The 22,787-nt window shown below is 45.4% G+C and overlaps 3 long non-coding RNA genes across 4 annotated transcripts in view, besides 1 other annotated feature; 1 reads left to right on the forward strand and 2 right to left on the reverse strand.

Moving 5' to 3' along the window:
* The window catches only part of LOC101927245 (uncharacterized), a 30,478-nt gene extending 8,042 nt beyond the window's left edge, over window positions 1–22,436 (forward strand). The window contains exons 2-5 of one of the 2 annotated variants that reach the window (NR_160672.1): window positions 1,914–2,050; window positions 5,851–5,981; window positions 19,291–19,465; window positions 21,469–22,436. This is a non-coding gene — a long non-coding RNA (uncharacterized LOC101927245). Of the gene's footprint in view, window positions 1–1,913; window positions 2,122–5,850; window positions 5,982–19,290; window positions 19,466–21,468 lie in introns of those variants that run through there. The other variant, NR_160673.1, reaches the window with a different exon arrangement.
* LOC105375686 (uncharacterized) lies at window positions 5,322–15,853 on the reverse strand. The gene is made up of 3 exons (XR_928491.2): window positions 15,767–15,853; window positions 10,530–10,675; window positions 5,322–5,357 (listed from the first exon to the last, which is right to left on the reverse strand). It is a non-coding gene; the product is annotated as an uncharacterized LOC105375686 (long non-coding RNA).
* Window positions 11,880–12,189: an enhancer, noted in NCBI's record as "KLF10-I DHS fragment used in reporter constructs". NCBI's record gives its function as "activates the minP minimal promoter by reporter assays in K562 erythroleukemia cells {active_cell/tissue: K562}" and the evidence as "EXISTENCE:reporter gene assay evidence [ECO:0000049][PMID:23985037]".
* Window positions 16,049–21,532, reverse strand: LOC105375685 (uncharacterized). Its single transcript, XR_928490.2, has 3 exons — window positions 21,452–21,532; window positions 18,546–18,736; window positions 16,049–17,381 (listed from the first exon to the last, which is right to left on the reverse strand). It is a non-coding gene; the product is annotated as an uncharacterized LOC105375685 (long non-coding RNA).
* Window positions 22,437–22,787: the final 351 nt, after the last annotated feature.

Consider the following 22,787-nt stretch of genomic DNA (forward strand, 5'->3'; position numbering starts at 1 on the left):
TTAAAAAAATACAAAAAGGAATAAAAAGATGAAAATCCCTTGTAATCCCACTTCCAGAATTAACCTCTACTAACATTTTGATACATATATTTTCAGGCTCTTTACCCTGTCTTCTCACTCCCCTCTGTATATATGTTATAAAACATGCTATCTTGTAACTTGCTTTTTCTTATTTTACTTAACCTATCAGGAACATCTCTTTGCACATCAATAATTGTAAAGGTAGTGTTCTTACAGCTTCTTAAAAGTAGGACCTTTCATTTTCTCTGGATAGACCCAGTGACTTTTACCTGTTCCAGTGTCAGAATTCTGGTAATCTTGCCTGGCATCATGGGTGAGAGGAGGGGTGTTGTTTTTCAAAGGCCAAACATCTTCCAGCTTCTTTGTGGGTTATAATCAAGATTATGATATAAAGCTGTAGAAGGGTAAGCAGTCAGCAAAAGCTATGGCTGATGGTCTCTCTATTTAGCACGTGGCATTTTTTTATTGAAATTTTCTGAATGTTGAGACGATCTTCCAGAAGGAGGGCAAGGGTCATGCATGTTCTTCCTTGGGGTTCTTAGCCCCCACTGCCACCAAGCCTGGCTGTGCAGTGGAGTGCCGTCTTCTCAGGAGAGTCTTCGTTTCACTCCTGAAGACAAGCATATAGGCCCCTTTTGGTTTTAAGTGCTATGTTGCTACTGATAAAAAAAGTAAAATAAATCCGAGCGTGACATGAACCAACCCAAAACAACAATCAAAAACAGACTGGAGGATGTGATGAAGGTTCTAGAATCTGAAATGGTCCTTTTACAGGTTAACGAAACCTATGAACTCCTTCTCAGGATAATGCTTTTGAGCTCATAAAATGAAGTTCATAAGATTACAAATGAAGCCATTATATTGATAACACATTTATCCAAATATAAAAAACATAGGCTGGATGAGGTGGTGCACGTTTGTAATCCCAGCACTTTGGAAGACTGAGGCAGAAGGCTCACTTGAGCCCAGGAGTTTGAGACCAGTCTGGGCAACATAGGAAGACTCCGTCTCTACAAATAATAAAAAAAAATTAGCCAGGCATAGTGGCACATGCCTGTAGTCCCAGCTGCTCAGGAGGCTGAGTTGGGAGGATTGCTTGAGCCCGGAAGGTCAAGGCTGCAGTGAGCCATGATGGTGCCACTACACTCAAGTGTGGGTGACAAGAGAGACTTTGTCTCTAAAAACTAAAAATGATTACATATATATATACACACACACACACACACATATTCACATACATATATAATGGTATTTTGGCATTATAGTGCTGCTTTAACACATTTGTTTATTATTATTATTATTATTATTATTATTTTTGAGACACAGTCTCACTCTGTCACCCAGGCTGGAGTGCCGTGGCGCAATCTTGGCTCACTGCAACCTCTGCCTCCCGTGTTCAAGTGATTCTCCTGCCTCAGCCTCCTGAGTAGCTGGGACTACAGGCGCATGCCACCACGCCTGGCTAATATTCGTATTTTTAGTAGAGACGGGGTTTCACCATGTTGGCCACACGGGTCTCAAACTCCTGACCTCAGGTGATCCGCCACTCTCGGCCTCCCAAAGTGCTGGGATTACAGCCATGAGCCACATTGCACTCCACCTATTAACACATTTAATAACAAGATCTAGTATGGGACTAACAACTGAGGTAATATTGAAGTTATCATGAGCATAAATGAGATTTCAAGGTCTGCATAGTTATGTAATATGGAAATATCTGTGATTTCTCTTAGTGACAAAGTCACAGGTCATAGGTCCTGCTGAGCCTAGTGTGGTTTGTTTCCTGTAGTTACAGTAAAGAAAATGCTAGGTGTGGTAAGAGATTAGTGCAAATAAAAATGTTAAATATTTGTCTCATCCAAGATCACAGACTCCTTGAATTATATCCACAGATGCCTTGGGAGTCTGAGGAACCCCAGATTCAGCACCCCTGCTTAACCTGCTTTTAAGAAGAAAAAAATGGAACTTGATAAACTTCACTCAAAGGAGAGACCCACTAATAACTCCACACACCTCACACCGAGTGAAGGTCTGGCTGTCCCTCTGTCTTCATCTTTTCAGGCTGCTGTAATAAAATGCTATAAGTGGGTGACTTATAAACAACAGAAATTTATTTCTCACAGTTCTGGAGGCTAGAATGTTCAAGATCAAGGTGCCAGCAGATTCACTGTTTTATCAGGGCACTCTTTCTCATAGATGGAGCTTTCTCACTGTGCCCTCAGACAGTAGAAGGGACAAACAGGTTCCCTTGGGCCTATTTCCTAAGGGCACTAATCCCAGAGCCCGCATGACCTAATCACCTCCCAAAAGGCCCCAGGTCCAAGTACCATCATCTTGGGAACTAGGATTTGAATCATAAATTTTGGAGGACACAAACATTCAGACCATAGCGTCCTCTGAACTCCTAACTGAGACTTGCAGTGAAGGTAGAGAAGGATTGAGGCCGAAAAGCAGTGAGCATTTTTGGTCTCAAGCCAAATTTGCCATATTTCAGGTCTGGAGCCCAACAGAGAAAGATCCTGAGGGCTGCAAGACTTGCCGGCCTCACCTCCAGTAGGCAGCTGGAGTGAGGAAAAACGAGGCATGGGGTGAAAGGGATAGAAACAAAGTATGACATTGGGGATTAAAAAATCTGTTTTCATGGGGCTCTTCTGGATATTCTTGGGCCAGTTGTTTTAACCTGCTTAGCTTCAGTTTCCTCAACTGCAACATAAGATTTACATAACTATACCTGAGGAAATCAGGGGTGTTGAGAAGAGTTTAAGTGAGATAATCAATGTGAACATGTTTGGCAAAGACTGAAGTAGTGCTATTCAAATTGTAATGTGCATAGAATCCCTTGGGGATCTTGCTCAAAGCAGGTTCTGATTCAGTGATTCTGGGTTGGGCCCCAACATTCTGCATTTCTACCAAGCAGCATCCCAGGTGATACCTAAGATGCTACTCTGAGGACCGTACTTTGAGTAGCAGGGTCCAAACTACTCTATAAATGTGCCTTATTATTATTGCCCTCTTTTTTTTTTTTTTTTTTTTAGATGAATTTCACTCTGTTGCCCAGGCTGGAGTGCAGTGGCACGGTCTCGGCTCAGGGCAACCTCCACCTCCCAGGTTCAAGTGATTCTCCTGCTTCAGCCTCCCGAGTAGCTGGGATTACAGGCATGTGTCACACCCAGGTAATTTTTGTATTTTTAGTAGAGACAGGGTTTTGCCACATTGGCCAGGCTGGTCTCAAACTCCCGAGCTCAGGTGATCCGCCTGCCTCGGCCTCCCAAAGTGCTGGGATTACAGGCTTGAGCCACCGCGCATGGGCCTATTATTGTCATTTTAATATTCTACCCTCTGACCCAAGGAGAATGACAGCTGAAGATAGGGAGGAAGGCCCAGCTCATCTCATGAGGCCAGTCTTCTGCTCAGCAGGACACTCTGGTCTTGCAACTCCACCTCCCCTTTGCTGCCTACCACCACCAGGTCATGATGAAGACTGGCCACAGCCAACTCAAAGAATGCTTCAAACCAAGTCAGTAGAAACTAGCCAAACATGGGGGGTGGAGGCAAAGACTGAATGAGATATTTGTGCAAAAAAATAAATATATGCAGAAAATATTTTGCATTTGTAATGCCGAATATCTCACAAAATTCCCAGAGAATACAACATATGTTTCATCTTCTGGTTTTTCAAGTAAGATCAATCATTCCTGCACAATTCTTCAAAAGCCCCTTTTCTCATGGTTCTCATGAGGTGAAGAGCCTTTGATAGCTCCTGTTGGTTACATTTACTCTAAGCTTCTGTCTAAGAATGACCAGGAGCAGAAAGGTCAGTGCAGCTGAGAATGTGGAAGATATTATAGAACTCTTGGGCACTGTTGGAGGGAGTGTCAACTAGAACCAGTACCACCACTTAGGAAAGCAATCTGGCTTTGTTGAGATGAAGCATGCACATATCCTATGACCTGTGAATAACTCTGGAATATATATTTTTTCCGAGGAAGTTCTCCCACAAGTTCATAAGGATGCTCATCATGAAATTGATTGGCGTAGCTGGATGTTGAAGGCAGCTTAGGTGCTTATCACTAGAGAAAGGGATTAATAAAATATGGCAGATGTAGACTGTTGAATACTAAGTAACAGTAAGAAATAACCAACTGGAAGTATACTGCAGCACTATAGATCTTTAAAATCCAGGGGTAGCTGGGAACAGTGGCCCATGCCTGCAATTCCAGCACCTTGAGAGGCTTGGATGGGAGGATTGCATGAGCCCAGGAGTTTTGAGACCAGCCTAGGCAACACAGTGAGACCCTGTCTCTACAAAAACTAAAAAACAAAAAAAATAGCTGGGTGTGGTTGCCGATGCCTGTAGTCCCATATACATGGGAGGCTGAGGTGGGAGGATCACTTGAGCCTGGAGACTGAGGCTGTAGTGAGCCAAGATCATATCACTGCACTCCAACCTGGGTGACAGAGTGAGACCCTGTCTCAAAAAACAAAAAAACACTGAGGGGTAAGGGAAAAACATAGGAAATAGGAAAGGATATATAGTACATTATCATTTTTGTAAAGACATCTCACCTAAAATAATATAACTTTTGTAAGACAGCATCCATGCATATATAAAGATATATTAAAGTAGGTGCTGTGGGGTGAAGGGAATATAATTAGGGTTTAGGGGTATAAAGGAAAAATAAAAAGTAAAATAAGGGAAGAACTTTGTTTGGATTAATGATGAAGTACTTAAAAACTGAGCTTTTAATTCAGATTTCTTCACCTGCAGTAGAAGAACCTTAGAGCAAAATCACCCCTCACCCCACAACCCTCTTCTACCACAATGTGTAAGGGTCTTCACAGTCCAGCCCTGCATGACCTAAAACAAAGCTAGTTCTCCATCTCGGGTGCCATCTTCCTCACCATTACCTCACAACAGGTCTTGAACTCTTCCTCTTTGACATTTTTTGGCTAGAGTCAACTTCTTTTCATCTTAGCTTCTTGCTACATCCACCTACAATATGTCCCTAGCAGACAGGGCTGAGTCCCAGTGTGATGTGGACAACTTCACACAAAGATGTGTTAGGGCCAGGTGCGATGGCTCATGCCTGTGATCCCAGCACATTGGGAGGCCAAGGCAGGGGCATTGCTTCAGTCCAGGAGTTCAAGACCAGCCTGGGAAACATGGTGAAACTCCATCTCTACAAAAACCACAAAAATTATCCAGGTGTGGTGGCATGCGCCTGTAGTCCCAGAAGGCTGAAGTGGGAGGATTACTTGAGCCCGGGAGGCAGAAGTTGTAGTGAGCCAAGGTCATCTCACTGCATTCCAGTCTGGGTGACACAGCGAGACCCTGTCTGGAAAAAAAAAAAAAAAAGGATGTGTTAGATCAGGGATTTGTCTTCCCTGGGTTTGGTGACACCATTGATTTGACATAGAACCTTAGGAAGTCCCTTCATTGTGCTTGTCTCCCCTGTAGCACATTCCACACAGCATGGTCATCTATAATACAGGTATCTCTGTTCTCCATTAGACTGTAAGTTCACGGAGGTTCAGAACCTTAGTTACCGATGTCCACTGCCCAGAACTAATCACATAAGAAGCCTGTCTCTAATAATGTTTGAGAAATGAATGGATTCCTCAGTCCCCTAAACCAGATGGTGGAACAATTTGGCCTCTAACTAACTTACACATCTAATTCAAAGCTTTAATTGGTTGTAGTTTCAAAGTGCTTGTGTAATGGTCCTAGAATATGCCACAAAATAAATATGCAATAACAAGGAGAGTGTTGCCCTAGTTCTGATGTCCTGATGCATAAAGTACCGTGTCCATATCTCCCTTTCCTTCAAGACGCTGAGACAATGTATGTGTGCTCCAGGAATGACTGGATGAAACAAAAAGAGAGTCTGGATGCCATTAAAATGTTTGACTATTGGATTCCCACGGTTTGGGATGGGAAGCAGAACTCGGTGAAACTGTAGGTAAGTGCCTGTGCAGGAAAGCAGCGGGTATACCTCACTGGCACCTTGCCTCTTTCAGAAAAATCAAACCTGCCTTCTGTGCAGTCAGATCTGGTGTGCCCATTACCAGCAGGGTTGGATATGTGCCTGGTTGGCTGGTTTTGGGAAAATCTACATTTTTTCCACCATTGGAGTAATAGATACACTCAGCAGCGGCCACATCCACCTCCAGCCAAACTGTACAGCACGTGACTCAGCATCCTGGGAATCTCCGGCCTAGCTCGGACTACAGGTGCGCCCATCCTGATTGGCACATTATCCAGGAGGTGGTCAGACCCCCTTGAAATCTGGAGGGAGTATGGCCTGGGAGTGGTGAGGAGCAGGCTGTCATGCCTGTGGGTAGAGGTCGCAGGTTGTCATAACCAATGTGGATGCAGTGCTCAGTACAAGGCCTTGGGTCTCTGGAACTGGCTTTTCTTGTACTGATCACTTTCTCAAAAGGAAATGTTAATTTTAAAATGTGCTTTTTCATGACTGCCTTTCTTGGACAAGGTGAAAGGCAGTGGTGAAAAAGCACATTTTAAAGGACAGGACATTGTTTCACACCCAACTAAGTGGAATGAAAAGACCCTCACAGCCCAGGGGAGAGCAAGTAGGTGGTGAAACGGGTTCATCTAGGGCCTGGCTCTAAGGTCCCATCAGCACAGCAGCAGTGGTGTTCAGTTCCAAAAGTCATTTGTGGTCTGCTGGGACTCCGGGTGGCTGGCTTCTGCTGCCTGCTGCTCCAGGATAGAATCCAAACTCCAAGCATAATGCAGAACATTTCAACTTAAATTTGGGTTATACGGCTGCTGCGGGAACAGTGTTTGTTCCCTGGTGCATTCAGCTTTGAAGGCTGCCGTCTGTCCAGCTGTAAGCAGGCTGGAAGGACTAGGAACGTGCTGCTTGGAGGTTGTCTACCTCCCCTGTTCCCCACTCCTGGGTCCCCAACCCTCCCTCTCCTCCCTTCCTCCATCAATCCCTGGTCCCCAGCCCACTTCTCCTCTCCCACTCCTGGGTCCCCAGTCCCTCCACCCTCCTCCACTCCCTTCTCTGTCCCTGGCCTTCCCTCCCCTCTGATCCTCCTCCTGCTTTCCTGGGTCTCCAGGTTCCCTCCCACCCCACCCCAACCCCGTCCCCACCCAGTCCCCAGCCCTCCCACCTTCCTCCGCCCATTGCCTGTGGCCTGAGTTCACAAGACTCCCTTCACCTTTTGGGGCAGTGGGCTTTAACAATTCTTGAGATATAGCAACACTAGAAAAGGAATAGGATTAACTGGGAGGAAAAAGTGGAAGGATGAGGAAAAGGGCTGTAGTGGAATGTGATATAGGTCCTTTTGCAAGAGCAAAAATTAGGAAAGATTAGTGTATCTCAACCTTGGCTGCGTGTTAGAATCACTTGAGGTCTTAAAAATCACCACTTCAGGCCAGGCGCAGTGGCTCACGCCCATAATCCTAGCACTTTGGGAGGCTGAAGCAGGTGGATCACTTGAGGTCAGGAGTTCGAGGCTAGCCTGGCCAACATGGCCAAACCTTGTCTCTACTAAAAATACAAAAATTAGCTGGGGGTGATGGCACACACCTGCAATCCTAGCTACTCGGGAGGACGAGGCAGGAGAACCCCTTGAACCTGGAAGGTGGAGGTTGCAGTGAGCCAACATCGCACCACTGTACTCCAGCCTTGGTGACAGAGTGAGACTCCATCTCAAAAAAAAATCCCCACTTCAGCCACATCCAAGACCAATGAAGTGGGTGTCTCTGGGGGTGACACTCAGACGTGTGTAGTTTTTAGAGTGCTCCAAAGTGATTCCAACGTACAGCCAAGGTCGAGAACCATTGCTCCAGATTCAGGCAAGACATTAAGGAAAGGATGGTGGCTCTCTGTTTGTTTCTGTTTCTTCCTGCTAGTTAGCTAAAGAATTAGGCAATTGTCAGAACGATCACTGGTGCTTGTGCACACTCTCTGTCTTCCCACATCTGACGATAATTGCTATCAGGCAAGGACATTTAATATGAATCCACTTAAAAAGAGAATCATGATTTTGTAATCAGTGTGAAAAATGTTTGATTGGAACTTCCTACTGAGAAATGAAATTAAAAGATTAAAATATATTTTCTTAGTTTAACAAATCTAGGTTATAATTGCAACTATGCATTAATTGTTACAAAATGAATTATATGTTAGTTACTTTTCTCAATATTCATTTCCTAACAAACTTTTATATGATAACATCTTTCACTTGGACTTTTAAACCCTGTCATAGAAGAGGTGGAGTTTTTTGGTTTTGTTTGTTTTGCAAAATAAGAGTTTATCAGCGTGGGCAACATGGCAAAACCCCATCTGTACAAAAAAGTACAACAACAATTAGCTGGGCATGGTGGCACGTGCCTGTGATCCCAGCTACTTGGGAGGCTGAGGTCAGAGGATCGCTTGAGCCCAGGAGGCGGAGGTTGCAGTGAGCCGAGATCACGCCACTGCACTCCAGCCTGGGCAACAGAGCAAGACCCTGCCCCAAAGAAAAGAAAAAAAAAGAGTTTATTAGTTTTCCTAAAAGCCTCTTTTTATCCTTTGATATTTAAATTATTTTATTTTGAAGGGCCTATGTGGCACCATCTTTCTCAGCACTCTGCTCTTCAATTGTGAACTGGTTTAAACATGCCAAATCTTTATTTGTCAATGTCTTTGCTTGAAGTTCAAGCAATTTGCCAATATTACTTTTGTCACCTTCATTAAATCCTGTATCTTTTGCAAGTTTTGCAGCTTCAGTCTGAAGGCAATTTGCATAATATTTATGTTACATTTGCTGAATTTTTACAAAGGCAAGAGACTGACCCACAGAGACCTAATCAGTGGGGCAGTAGGTGTTAACCGAAGTGATGTTTTAACCTAGTCATTGGGGTATAGTGTTAGCTGAAGTGATGTTTTTTAATAGGGACCAGTTTTATAAGTGACTAATATATTCACTAATATATGTATTGTGAATATAATATATTCACTAATATATGTATTGTGAATATAATATATTCACTAATATATGTATTGTGAATATAATATATTCACTAATATATGTATTGTGAATATAATATTCACTAATATATGTATTGTGAATATAATATATTCACTAATATATGTATTGTGAATATAATATATTCACTAATATATGTATTGTGAATATAATATATTCACTAATATGTGTATTGTGAATATAATATATTCACTAATATGTGTATTGTGAATATAATATATTCACTAATATGTGTATTGTGAATATAATATATTCACTAATATGTGTATTGTGAATATAATATATTCACTAATATGTGTATTGTGAATATAATATATTCACTAATATGTGTATTGTGAATATAATATATTCACTAATATGTGTATTGTGAATATAATATATTCACTATATAGTCACTAATATATGTATTAGTGAATATTTTCACTACTGAACTTCCTAACTTTAAGGAATTGGATAATGAACACCTGAGTAATGATAAATAGACATATGCTTATTGCATATTGACCCCATATATACATGAAAGAGGTAAATGTGCACTGTAAAGTATATACTAGTTAACACAGATTATTGTACCTTGTACTTAAGTGTGGCGTTTCAGACAATGTTACTATTTCCTGTACCTGAAGAAGTGGGCACGTTAACTGAGTTTTAATCAGTGTGTCTTCAGAAAGGAAGTGACTACTAGTTTTTCTATATAGTAATCATAATAATCTCTAACACTTATTGAGCTAGGGCTCTGCTCCAAGCCCATTACCATATTTACAGCAGCTCTCTGACCAATATGAATAATGCTATCTCCAGGTTGTAAATAAGTTCACGTGGATGCTCTATGTTGCTAATGCCTCTTGAAATAACTGGAAGCGTTCTGCAACTGGTCTTCACCTGTAGAAAGCCTCCCTCCTTAGTCCAGCCTGAAAAAGCATTTCCCTGGCCCTGGACAAGAAGATAGCTCTGTATATATAGCTTTCTGACCTGAGCATTCATCTCAGAACCCTGAGCTGCGTTGGGCTCCTCCGGCAGCAGCTCAGACCCCTCCCAGCACAGCCCCTTAGCCCCGCTCCTACACCCCAGTGCTCGGATGCCCACCACCTCCCTAGGCACCTTGTTTTCTTTTTCTTTTTCTTTTTAAACAAGTATAATTGTTTAAAAGTTTTTCCTTGTGCCAAGATTTTTTCCACCCACCCCACCAATCCCAGTTCTGCTATTGGGGAATTACTACCCCAAACAAATAGAATTCCTTTTCTTTCTTCTTTCTTTTTATAGACAAGGGCTTACTCTGTTGCCCAGGCTGGAGCCTAGTGGCTCAAGCACAGCTCACAGCAACCTTAAACTCTTGGGCTTAAGAGATCCTCCCGAGTAGCTAGGACTGCAAGTGCACACCATCACACCTGGCTAATTTTTTTTACTTTTGTAAAGAAGAGATCTCATTATGTGGCCCAGGCTGGTTTCGAACTCCTGGCCTCAAGAGATCCTCCCATCCCTGCCTCCCAAAGCGTTGGGATTACCGGCATGAGCCACTGCGTCTGGCCCGGAATTCCTTTTCCATGGAGATATTCTTCATGGAGCGGAAGGCACTGTCACCTGAACTGTGGCGAGATGCTCTGTGCTGTGGGTATACACCTCTGAATCACTTGTTCAGCAGGCTGTAAACCTAGAACCAGAGATTTTACTGGAATTGAGCAGTCAATTAGTGAAATAAATTAGGACCCATTGAATAAAGGTTAAACACAGGCCAATACATTACTTGTAAAATGTTTGCGTCATCCTCCAAAACAAAGGGTGGGTTTTTCCCCCAGACACCATGTAGAAGGTGCCTAAAGCTATTAAGGAGAAAGTGATAAAGGGTCACGAGGTTAATAACCCACTTCCCAGGCCTGGCTGCCTACAGTTTGAGATTCCCCTGGGGAAGTGCCTCTGCATCAGTTTGTTTTGACAGCTGACCTCTTTCTGAAGCAGAGGTTCTCTCAGAGATGGCCCTGGAGTCTCAGTGGCCACCATCTGGCTGACTCCTCCCTTTCAGAAGGATGACAAGCTTGGTGCAGGAGAAGAAGCAGCCTTGCAGTTCTATTTCGCTGGGCTCAGATGAGGAAGGCAGGTGGACTGTGTACAGAAGCAAGGAGGCCATTTTTAGTTTCCTCCTTTTCTTAGGCTTTTTGAGACGGAGTCTCGCTCTGTCACCCAGGCTGGAGTGCAGTGGTGTGATCTCGGCTCACTGCAACCTATGTCCCCGGAGTTCAAGAGATTTTCCTGCCTCAGCCTCCTGAGTAGCTGGGACTACAGGTACCCACTGCCACACCCAGCTAATTTTTGTATTCTTACTAGAGACAGGGTTTCGCCATGTTGGCCAGGCTGATCTCAAACTCCTGACTTCAAGTGACCTACCCACCTCGGCTTCCAAAAGTGCTGGGATTACAGCTGTGGGCCACTGCTCCCGGCCTGCTTTCTCCTTTCCTGTGCTGAAGAATGTTTCTGGGTTTGGGAGTTCAGGGGCTTTTCTTTGTTCAGTTGTCTCCTCATCATTTACCTGGGGAGAGAATTGGCCTAAAGGAGCAACGTGAAGGATAGCACTCTCCTGTCCTTGTGAGGGGACTCGAGACCTGCTGAGGGCTCCTCTGTGGCCTACAGTATCAGTCCTCCCCACAGGCACATGCCTGTCCATCTGATGGCCCAGCTGGCACCCCAGCTAGGGGTAAGGGCAGGAACAGTGAGGGTGCTGGAAGAGGATTCGGGAAAGATCTAGAGAAGAGAAGAGAGGGCAGGAGTCATGGCTGTCTTTGAGAGAAAATAGCACTAAGATTGGCACTAAACCCTAAAATCAGGGTTTCAACCCAACTGTTGGGTCCCTGATGGAAGCTTCCTCTCTGGGCTTTACCACTCCCCCAAAGTCTTCTGAGCATGTGTAAAGCTTCTACCGTAGCCATCCAATCCTTTGATGCCAGGTCTGACTTTGGTAGAGTCCAGAAAAGGAAATTGAGAAGCTGGGTGTGTTGCTAGAAAGATGAGTGTGATAAGGACCAAACACGACTGCACTGGGCGCTGGCTACATCTCTGTGAAGTTATCTCCCTTGGCCTTACCACAAGCTGCCTATGTGCCCTCCTCCACAGAGGAAGGAACAGAGATGCAGAGAGAGAAGTCTAAAAACAAGTCACATTGTTGGTGGGTGGACAGGAGCCCAGGCAGGCTGCTCATTGCTTCCCCGTCCTGGTGTGGTATGTGCCTGGGGACCACGGCCACTCTGCCAGGCTGGGCCCACCAAGTGCTCTCTAAAACCTGGAGTCCTTACTCCTGGTTACAGTAACAGTTCCCAAGCCAGGGTGATCATGAGCTGCTCATTAGGAAATCCAAATACAGATTCCTGAGTCGCTTCCCTGACTTCATACCTCTAGTGTAGGGCCTGGGAGTCAGTATTTTCCAAGCCCTCCTCAAGTGGTTTTGATAATCAACCAAGTGCAGGAACCACTGGGTTAGATCATTAGTGGGGCCTTTGTAATTAACCTCACCTAGGCCAGGCGCAGTGGCTCACGCCTGTAATCACAGCACTTTGGGAGGCCGAGGCGGGCAGATCACGAGGTCAGGAGATCAAGACCATCCTGGGTAACGTGGTGAAACCCCGCCTCTACTAAAAATACAAAAATTAGCCGGGCGTGGTGGCAAGCGCCTGTAGTCCCAGCTACTTGGGAGGCTGAGGCGGGAGAATGGCATGAACCCGGGAGGCAGAGCTTGCAGTGAGCCGAGATCGCGCCACTGCACTCTAGCCCGGCAACAGAGCGAGACTCTGTCTCAAAAAAAAAAAAAAACCTCACCTAATTCCAGGCACCTGCTTTCCTGTACTTAGACTCAATTATAAGGCTGCAAAACACACTAGTGTATATCTCTGGAACTTTAAGACTGGCTCTGGCCATTTAGTCACTTGACCAATGTACATGAAATACCCATCTTGTACCTGTGCTGTTTCAGGAATGGGGATATACCAGAAGAGGCAGGGCTACTGCTCTCATGGAGCATGTAGTCTAGCAGAGATATACAAAACCCCTTCGCTTCCACTCCAGCACCTTCCTTTCCACCACCTTCACCACCTTGCATCTTTTTTTTTCCTGGTCTTCAGACCTTATGAGTTCATAAACATTTTTATTAAAAAAATTTTTTTTGAGACAGGATTTCACTCTGTTGCCCAGGCTAGAGTGCAGTTGTGCAATCATAGCTCACTGCAGCCTTGACTTCCTGGGCTCAAGTGATCCTCCTGCCTTAGCCTCCCAAAGTATTGGGATTACAGGCCTGAGCTACTGCACCTGGCCTATAAACTTCTTTCAAAGTGGAGTCTGAGTCCAATTCATTTCTAGACTGTCATTTTCTCCCGGACTCACCCCTACACCCAGTTACCTATACCTAGTATAATAGTTTGCACTCAGTAAATGTTTGTTAAATAAATGCATTTATTCATTCATCAAATATTTAGAGTGCCTACGATGTGCCAGACATAATTGTTGGTACCAGGACAATGATGAGATTGAAGCAAGAAAGGTACTTAGGGTGCACAATTTAAGGAGACACTTAATCTAGGATCATGCAAGTGCACCTGAGCCTGAGGACCTCCTTAAATGTTGTGCCCTAGGTGCCCTGGCTCTTTGCAGGGATATGCATATTGCCTGTCCTAAGTCTTTTTCATTTGTGTGTGATCTGCCTTTTCAACCAGATTGTGAGGCCTTATTCTGGTCTGTCTCTTTCTCCTCTTCCTGCACCACCTCCTGCCTCATACGGTGTTTTCTAGAATGTTGTCCCTGATCATCTGCCTGGGAATCCTTGGTAGCACTTGTTTAAAATTCAATTTTCCAGGCCAGGCATGGTGGCTCACACCTGTAATCCCAGCACTTTGGGAGGCCGAGGCTGGTGGATCATTTGACATTAGGAGTTTGAGACTAGCCTGGCCAACATGGTGAAAACCCATCTCTACTAAAAATACAAAAAAAAAAAAAAAAAAACTAGCCAGGCATGATGGCATGCACCTGTAATACCAGCTAATTGGGAGGCTGAGGCAGGAGAATTGCTTGAACCCGGGAGATGGAGGTTGCAGTGAGTCAAGATCATGCCATTGCACTCCAGCCTAGGCAACAAGAGTGAAACTCTGTCTCAAAAATAAAAAATAAAAAAAATTAAGAAGATAAAATTCAGTTTTCCAAGTCCCACCTATTGAGTCAGGTTCTTTGAAGGTGACACTGAGGAATATGCATCACTGACAAGCTCCCTGAGTGGCTGAGGCACAATTGAGGACCCCTGGCTCACTGGTTTGTTCAGTCAGTAGGATTAATGCTGAACAATACTAGAAGAAGAACACAGGGAGAAGACAGGGGAACAGGGGCATTTAATATGCATCAGTGCCTTTGGATTCTGTTTACAGAGATAGAAAAGGAAGGCAAGGGAAGAAGGCAGTCTAGAGGTGTACATGCTGGCCTGGACTCTGCCCCATATGCTCTGCAGGAAGATCTAGATCAGCTCACCCTTGCACTTTAGCTGGGCCACTCTGGGCCCTGCCCCATCTTCCTCTGACTCTTCTTTTTTTTTTTTTCCTTTTTTCTTTCTTTCTTTCTTTCTTTCTTTTTTTTTTTTTTTTGAGACAATGTCTCACTCTGTCACCTAGGCTGGAGTGTAGTGGCATGATCTCGGCTCACTGCAACCTCTGGCTCCCAGGTTCAACCAATTCTCAGCCTTCCAAGTAGCTGGGACTACAGGCATGTGCCGCCACCCCTTGCTAATATTTTGTATTTTTAGCAGAGACGAGGTTTCACCATGTCGGCCAGACTGGTCTGGTACTCCTGACCTCAGGTGATCCACCTGCCTCGGCCTCCCAAAGTGTTGGGATTACAGACATGAGCCACCACGCTGGCCCTTTGACTGTTCTTGAGTTGCCCATACTGCCTGCCCAAGGAGCTAGTGGCTGACACTGTCAGCTGCTTTGGCAGCTGTGTCAGAAGTTTCTCTGGTGCAGGGTAGGGGCAGGTGGGTTTATGGCTGGCTGGGGCGTGGGTATGAGTGTGGCAGGGCAAACAAGGCACTTGGGGAGGTCTGTAAGTTCACCTCCACCTCCAACTTCTAAGGCTGGTAGCTATCATTTTTACATGCTTCACATGGTACGCTGCATCAATGCCCACACACTTTGGGGTGACAGATACATATTGTTTAATGGTAATTATCTGGATGAGAGAAATCACTTGTGTGAGTTACCAGTAAACCCAGTTTGCAGGGTGGAGCACACCTTTGGCTTTCCCAATCCATTAGCCCCTTGGCGGTATCACCATGAGATTCCTCTTGCTATCCAACCACACCCAGCTCCCTCATAGAAGAGTTCAGGTGTGAGTCTCGAATCTGCATTTTAGCTTGTTCTTAAAAGTATTCAGGCAGGGAGATGGAGGACATAAAGTCCAGCTCAGGAGGCAATTTGGGACACTGTTGGCATCTGGGTAACCATCCAAGTGTCCCTAAATGGCAAATTATTGATATAGGGCTTCCAATAGCAGGTCATTCAACTTGAATTAATTAATAACCTATTATTTGCTTGTAAGGTTGAGGACAGTGGTTTTCAAGCTTTTGTGTGTATCAGTATCACCTACTAAGCTTGTTAAAACAGGTGCCCCACCCCGGACTCTTAAGAGATGAGGCCTGGAAATTTATCCTTTCAACAAAACTCCCCAAGCACTTCACACACACACACACACACACACACACACACGCACACCACGAGTTTACCTCTGGTTCTTTGAACTAGGAAGTTCTGCAGTGTTTTTTTTTTTTCTTTCTTTCTTTCTTTCTTTTTTTTTTTTTCTTGAGACAAGATCTGACTCTGTTACCCAGGCTGGGGTACAGTGGCGTGATGTCAACTCTCTGCAACTTCTGTCTCCCAGGCTCCAGCCATCCTCCTACTTCGGCCTCCAGAGTAGGTGATGCTACAGGCACATGCCACCACACCCAGCTAATTTTTGTATTTTTTTGTAGAGACGGGGTTTTGCCATGTTGCCCAGGCTGGTTTCAAACTTATGAGCCCAAACAATCCGCCGGCCTCAGCCTCCCAAAGAGCTGGGATTACAGGCATGAGCCGTCGCACCCAGCCAAGTATTTGTTTCTTAATTAAGGCAGAGTATTCTCTCTCTACCTTCAGCCTTTTCTTCAAATGTGATGGTTTGTGCTCTGTTCACTTGGCTAAGATGGAACTATCTTTTCGAGATCCCTTTCCCTGTACAGTTCTGAGTTAAATTTGGCCAGAAGAAGAACTTGTACCAGGTTTGGAAAATGTGAAGCAGTGGCCATCACTCTCAGAAAGTCATCAGGGTTAGATGTGGTGACAGACACAGAGAGGCCAGCGGGTTCCAGCTTGTCCTTGCTGTCCTGCACTCCACATCCAGTCCTCTTCCTGACTGCTGACTCCAGGACCGACAGCAGCCCCAGCCCCTCCCTCAGATGGCATTTCCACGGAGGAGGGACCACAGGCTTCTCTTTTCAGCCCCTCCACAGCAGCAGGATGTGCTTAGCTTGTCCAAGGGACTGCTTGGCGGCTCCTTCTCTGATCCTCCCATTCCTCCGGGGCCTTCACCTCTCCAGTTCCTCCCAAAGTTGTGTAATGTCCAATTCCTATAATAAGTGTGTCCTTTATCCCATAACTCCAAGGGGTTCCCTTCCCTGACTTAACCCTGACTGTTCAGTTAAGAAGTACTTCCCATGTCTAAAATAAATCAAGACCTCGGAATTAGGACTTCCATTTAGATCCAAAGGGATGTCCATGGGATGTAAAGATGTGTAAACACCGTGAAGACAGCTAAAAGCTCACCCATCAGTCTTACCTTCCATGATTATAGGGTAATTGAAATATTTGATTTCCCCAAGTTCTCTACTGGCAAATACAGTACCTTCAGCCAAAGCAGTAAAAGTCACCCTTTCCTTTTCCTCCTGACTTTCCTTTTAAGCGAGTGTTCTTGTTCAGACCACAGTGTGCATATGTGGTATGTATGTGGTAGCCTGTCACTTACTGCAAAGAAGCCCTGAGTCCAGCCTGTAACTGAATCCATTCCTAGAATCATTAAGCATAGACAGGTCACAGAATGGCCCCACCAAAATGCTTCATGAAAGGATAGGCATTCTTTGGCTTGTTGTACAATTTTTTCTCTGCCCCAATGCCATGGGCAGCCGTTCTTTTCTGACCACCCATGTGAATAAGCTCTGGTAGGATCCTGGATTGTCCCTACCATAGCCTTCATGATACTGTGCTGCTATTATTCACTGGATGTCTGTGTCATGCACTAGATGGCAAGTACTCTTAGGACAGTGTCTCTCATCCAGTCACTTGGCTTCCCGGTGTCCAGCACAGCACCTGCACAGAGAAGCATGCAGTAAACATTTGTGGAATGAATGATGAGCCATGTGGAGGTCACGTCTGATTTGAGGCTGAGACTTTCCTATCAGGCTTTATCCTCATTTGAAGGGGCCTGGAACCAGGGACCAGATCTGTGCCCCCTTTAGAGTGTGAGGCCCACATACCAGGAGATGGAGCTATAGAAGGGCCAGCTACTGGCCACCAGAGACCTGACTGGTGTGAGGCCTCCTGTGGTGCCTGGCCAATCTTGGCTGATCACAGCCTACGTCAGGGTTGATAATCATGTGGCACAAGAGCCCCCCGCTCCATTCTCCAGAGCCCACGCTTCCTAATCTATTATGGCCCTTGAGCCTTCTCAAAACAACACCTAGGCAGCTGCTACCAGTGATCAGAGTGGCAGCTATAAATGGAAGCCGTTCTTCACCCTTGGACAGCCTCTGAGATCTGTCTCACTGTCATCCCCGCCATCCGAGGCATCACTATTTTTGTTTATGGGGAGGCATGAATACCAAGCCAAAATATCAACAAGTGAAGTAGAAATTGAGTTGTAAATAAATGATACCAAGTTTATCCAACTCAAGCAACCAATAAACCAACTACTTGACTGGGAGAAAAACATTTTTCTCCCAGTCAAATGGAAAAGGCAAAAAGATGGCTTTGTTTGTATGCTGTGATGCCACTTTTATTTATTTATTTATTTGTTTTTAGAGACAGGCTCTTGCTCTGTTGCCCAAGGTAGAGTGCATTGGCACAATCATAATTCACTGTAGCCTTGAACTCTTGGGCTCAAGTGATCCTCCGCTTCAGCCTCCTGCGTAGCTAGGACTATAGGATGTGCACCTAATTTCTTTTTTTTTTTTTTTGTAGAGATGGGGTCTTGCTATATTGCCCAGGCTGGTCTCAAACTCCTGGTCTGAAGCGATCCTCCTGGCCCTGCCTCCCAAAGCACTGGGATTACAGGCACAAGGCAATGCACCCAGTCAATGCCACTTTAAAATGGGAGTTTGGTGTGTACCCAAATGTCTGGGGACAAGACTGCCCCCAGTGGGGACTCCTTTACTGCAGAGAAACCTCCTCTCCCCACTCCACAGCCCACATGCAGGTCTGGTAGGAGTCTCCAAATCCCACCCGTCTCCCTGCGCTGCAGTTGCCCTTCTTTACCTGCAGAGTTTGGCATCCGGTAGCAATGACTTGAACCCATGGAGTGTCAGGTGAGGAGAGGAGAGGCCAGCGCTGTGGTACAATGGAAGGAAGGGACAGGAGGCAACCACTTGGCTTCTCGCCCCAGTTCTGCCACTTACAAACCATGTCACCTGTGACAAGTCAACATTTGGGAGCCTCCACTTCCTCACCTGTTAAAGGAAGTTGAGGGAGTGGTTATTAGTTGCCTGTATGTATGTATCTCGTTGGGATATTGATAATATCATATAACACTGAAAAGGCTAATGTGAAAGTGCTCTAAGTAAGAAAGGGGAAAGTTTTTGTTTTGTTTGCTACTTTATAGCACACAGCCTGGCCCACAGTATAGTGGGGTGTTCAGTAAAAGGTTTGTTGAATGAACAAATGTGAACACAAAAATCTTGCTCCCCTGGGAGTGGAGAGGGAAGTGAGGTCAGGAAGGTGCACACAGGGGACCTCACAGGTAGAGGAGATATTGTATGTGTGAGGCTGACGGGGGTTACATGCTACATGCTTTCTAGTTCCTCTCTGTGTTTGTATGTTGATGTTTTTTGTATGTATTCAACATCTAATGAAAGCATTTTTTAAAAATTAATGAACAAACAAACAAACAAGTAGACAGAACAAACCCGTGAAGTACCTTCCCAAAGGAAGCTATTATTAGTGCTAGTACAGCTTTTGCTCTGCCATTAAAACAGTTCTAAGTGATTTCACTTAATTCACAAAGGTTCTGTGTCCGGGCCAAGCGTTGCTGAAAGGTGGAAGAATTCATGGAAAGAAGGTTATACCAGAAACCAAGATCTGCTTTTTAAAAGGGAACATGTACGCTCATGTTTTGGCTTGAATTCACTGCCTTTCACCTATGTGTGGTCCCTCCTGTGCCGAGTCAGCATGGAGTTCAGGTAAGCCATGGTTCTTTGCTTGTGCAGTGGCCTCTGCCTCGCTTCTCCTTGCTAAGTCTTACTCATCCTTCAAGACCTACCCCAGGTGTCATCCTTTCCAGGAAGTGTCTCTGAACCACCTCACGGGATTAAAAAGCATCATGCCACCTTAGCACATCTACGGCAGTGGGTCTCAATTGGGGGTGGGTGACTTTGTTTCACTGAGGACATTTGGCAATGTCTGGAGACAATTTTGATTGTCATGACTGGGGGTGGGGATGGAAAGTGTACCACTGGCATCTAGTGGGTGGAGGCCAGGGATGCCGCTAAACATCCTGCAGAGCACAGCACAGCCACCCCCACAACAAACTGTCTGATCCAAAATGTCCTTAGTGCTACTGTTGAGAAGCCCTGCTTAATGGTATGAAATTATCTCTTTGTATCTCAGTAAGGACCCATATCAACCTGGGAAGACCCAAGGTTGATTCAGCCTTTTGTCCCCAGCACCCAGTATACTGCTTGTAACCACACACACACACACACACACACACACACACACACCGTATAAATATGTATATATAAACGATGTGTATCTATATTGGGTAGGTTTTTTTTTTTTTTTTGAGACAGAATCTTACTCTATCACCCAGGCTGGTGTGCAATGTTGTGATCACAGCTCACCACAACCTCCACCTCCCAGGCTCATATGATCCTTCTGTCTTCAGCCTCCTGAGTAGCTGGGACTACACAGGCATGCACCACCACACCTGGCTAATTTCTGTATTTTTTGTAGAGACAGGTTTTTGTCATGTTACCCAGGCTGGTCTCAAACTCCTGGACTCAAGCAATCTGCCTGCCTCAGCTTCTGAAAATGCTGGGATTACAGGCTTCAGCCACCGCACCTGGCCTTTTTTTTTTTTTTTTTTTGAGACAAGGTCTCGCTCTGTCACCCAAGCTGGAGTGCAGTGGCATGATCACGGGGCTCACTGCAGCCTTGACATCCCTGGTTCAAGCAATCTTCTCACCTCAGCCTTTCTGAGTAGCTGGGTCTTCAGGCAAGCGCAACTGTGCCCGGCCAATTTTTAAAATTTTTTGTAGAGATTGGGTCTTACCATGTTGCGTAAGCTGGTCTGGAACTCCTGGCCTCAAGTGATCCACCCACCTGGGCCTCCCAATATGCTGAGATTACCGACATGAGCCACCGTGCCAGCCTGTGTTGTTTTTTTCATTCATTCATTCCTCTATTCCCTGTAAAGTGTAGTACTTAACTGGACACGCACAAAACTAAGGTTCCTGCTCTCAGGAAGCTTGGCAATCAAATGGAGGAAAAGTTCTTGTCAACACCCAATTATTCACAAGACAGGTTGAAACAGGGCCCTAACAGGATAGGCAGAGTGCTCTGGGAGACCTGATTATTAGGTTGAACCAAAGTAAGTTGCTGACATGCTACCTTTTTAACTGGAAAAACAGCAATTTTGTATGGTTCACCCCAAAATGTGGTTTAACCTACATGCTTTGGACTGGCTTGAGGGCGACGATCAGACTTCACAGAGGAGACACAAGAAATGTTTCCAGTCTTGCCTTCCCCACTGCATGGTCCTTCCCTAAATGCAAAGACCATGTATTTTCTTCCCTGACATCACACTTCTTAGGAGAGTGTCTTGCATTTATAAGGCCTTAGTAAATTTTTCTTGACTAGGGTTCAGGTAACTATCGGTATTGCAAGTTGGTTTTTATTATTGTGAGTGCACTTTTACCCCCAGAAACTCTGAAGAACAGTGTTATACAGGCACAAAATTTGTAGTGTTTTCCTAGTAGCAACGGGTACAAGAAAACACAGTCCCCTAATACCACCCAAAGCCACAGCCTGTCAGGGGAGCCATCATGGAAAGTGTCAGGAGCTAAAGGTCCAGGGCATAGCTGGTGGCCATCTGGGAGGTCAGCTGCCCCTGGCGGTGTCAGGCAGCCCCATGCACACCTGGCCATGAGCCTTGGCCACTTACTCACCTCGTGTTCTGCAGCAGGTGGTGGAAGACAAACAGCTCAGAGCTGGACTCAGAACTTGGCAGAGTCCTGCTTTCAACTACATGCAGCCAGAAAACTCTGGAAAACTGAACTGTTTATTGGGGTCAAACTTTGGTAAGTCCGATAAAGTCTGGCTCCAGGTGTCAATCTAGTCTCTTGAAAGAATTGCCCAGAAGCTCACTGCTGACTGGCTGGATGTTACCAGTGGCATACAGCCTCTGCTTGTGGGTGGAATCCGGCAGCTCGGACACCGCCCCACGGTTCCTGATGCAAGCCTGGGCAGGAGCTAGAGCTAGGGGCTTGCAGCCAAGGAGGAGATAAGTCCAGGGGAGCCCTGCAGGCTATCAAACCATCTGCCAGCTGGACTCGCTCCAGGCCACTGGTGACCCTTGCCATGACACCGGACACCAGTAGCAAGAAAGCCTGCAATCCAGTATGCTTCTCTTTTCCTTTCTACAGGACTCCTAGAGTGGAGCTAGCTCCCGTCCTTCCAAATGCAGCAATGACATTAAGGACATTCGTTCACATGGTTCACAGTTGGTGTTGGGAAGTTGTCCTACCTGGACATTGCTGTCAGAGCCATGGACTAAAATACTCAATTCTGGCCTAAATAAAGCAAGCTCTCGGTGTTAAAGACTTTTTTTTTTTTTTTTTTTTTTTTGAGATGGAGTCTTGCTCTGTTGCCCGGGCTGGAATGTAATGGTGTGATCTCAGCTTACTGCAACCTCCACCTCCCAGGTTCAAGCAATTCTCCTGCCTCAGCCTCCTGAGTAGCTGGGATTACAGGTGCACGCCACCATACCTGCTAATTTTTGTATTATTAGCAGAGGCGGGGTTTCACCATGTTGGCCAGGCTGGTCTCCAACTCCTGGCTTCAAGTGATCCACCCGCCTCAGCCTCCCAAAGTGCTGGGATTACAGGCGTGAGCCACAGTGCCTGGCCTTTTTGAGGATTATTATAAGTAAAAGAAAATTCAGACCACGAACATAGCATTCCTTTAGGTGTTTTGCATAGATATAGTTTTTTGCTTTACTGTGGGTCCACTGGGAAAAGGTTTGTGGAAATCTGAGCAGCTGATGTTTGTGTGCTCAGATTCTTTGGGACCTATCTATAAGACTTGGCGAGGCAATACGGCTTCCACCATTTCCCCAGGGAAAAAGTTACTCAAGGTTACTGAACTCATGAAACCATGTGGATTTCCAGCATGTGTTATTATAATCTCACTAACCTTCCGATTTTAAAACGCTGTAACTCTGTAATTTTTTTCTGTGGTCAGCCCTTCCCAAAGGTATCCACCTTCCAGTTTGTCCTGTGGAGC

Source organism: Homo sapiens, chromosome 8, assembly GCF_000001405.40.
Source record: "Homo sapiens chromosome 8, GRCh38.p14 Primary Assembly".
NCBI lineage: Eukaryota > Metazoa > Chordata > Mammalia > Primates > Hominidae > Homo > Homo sapiens.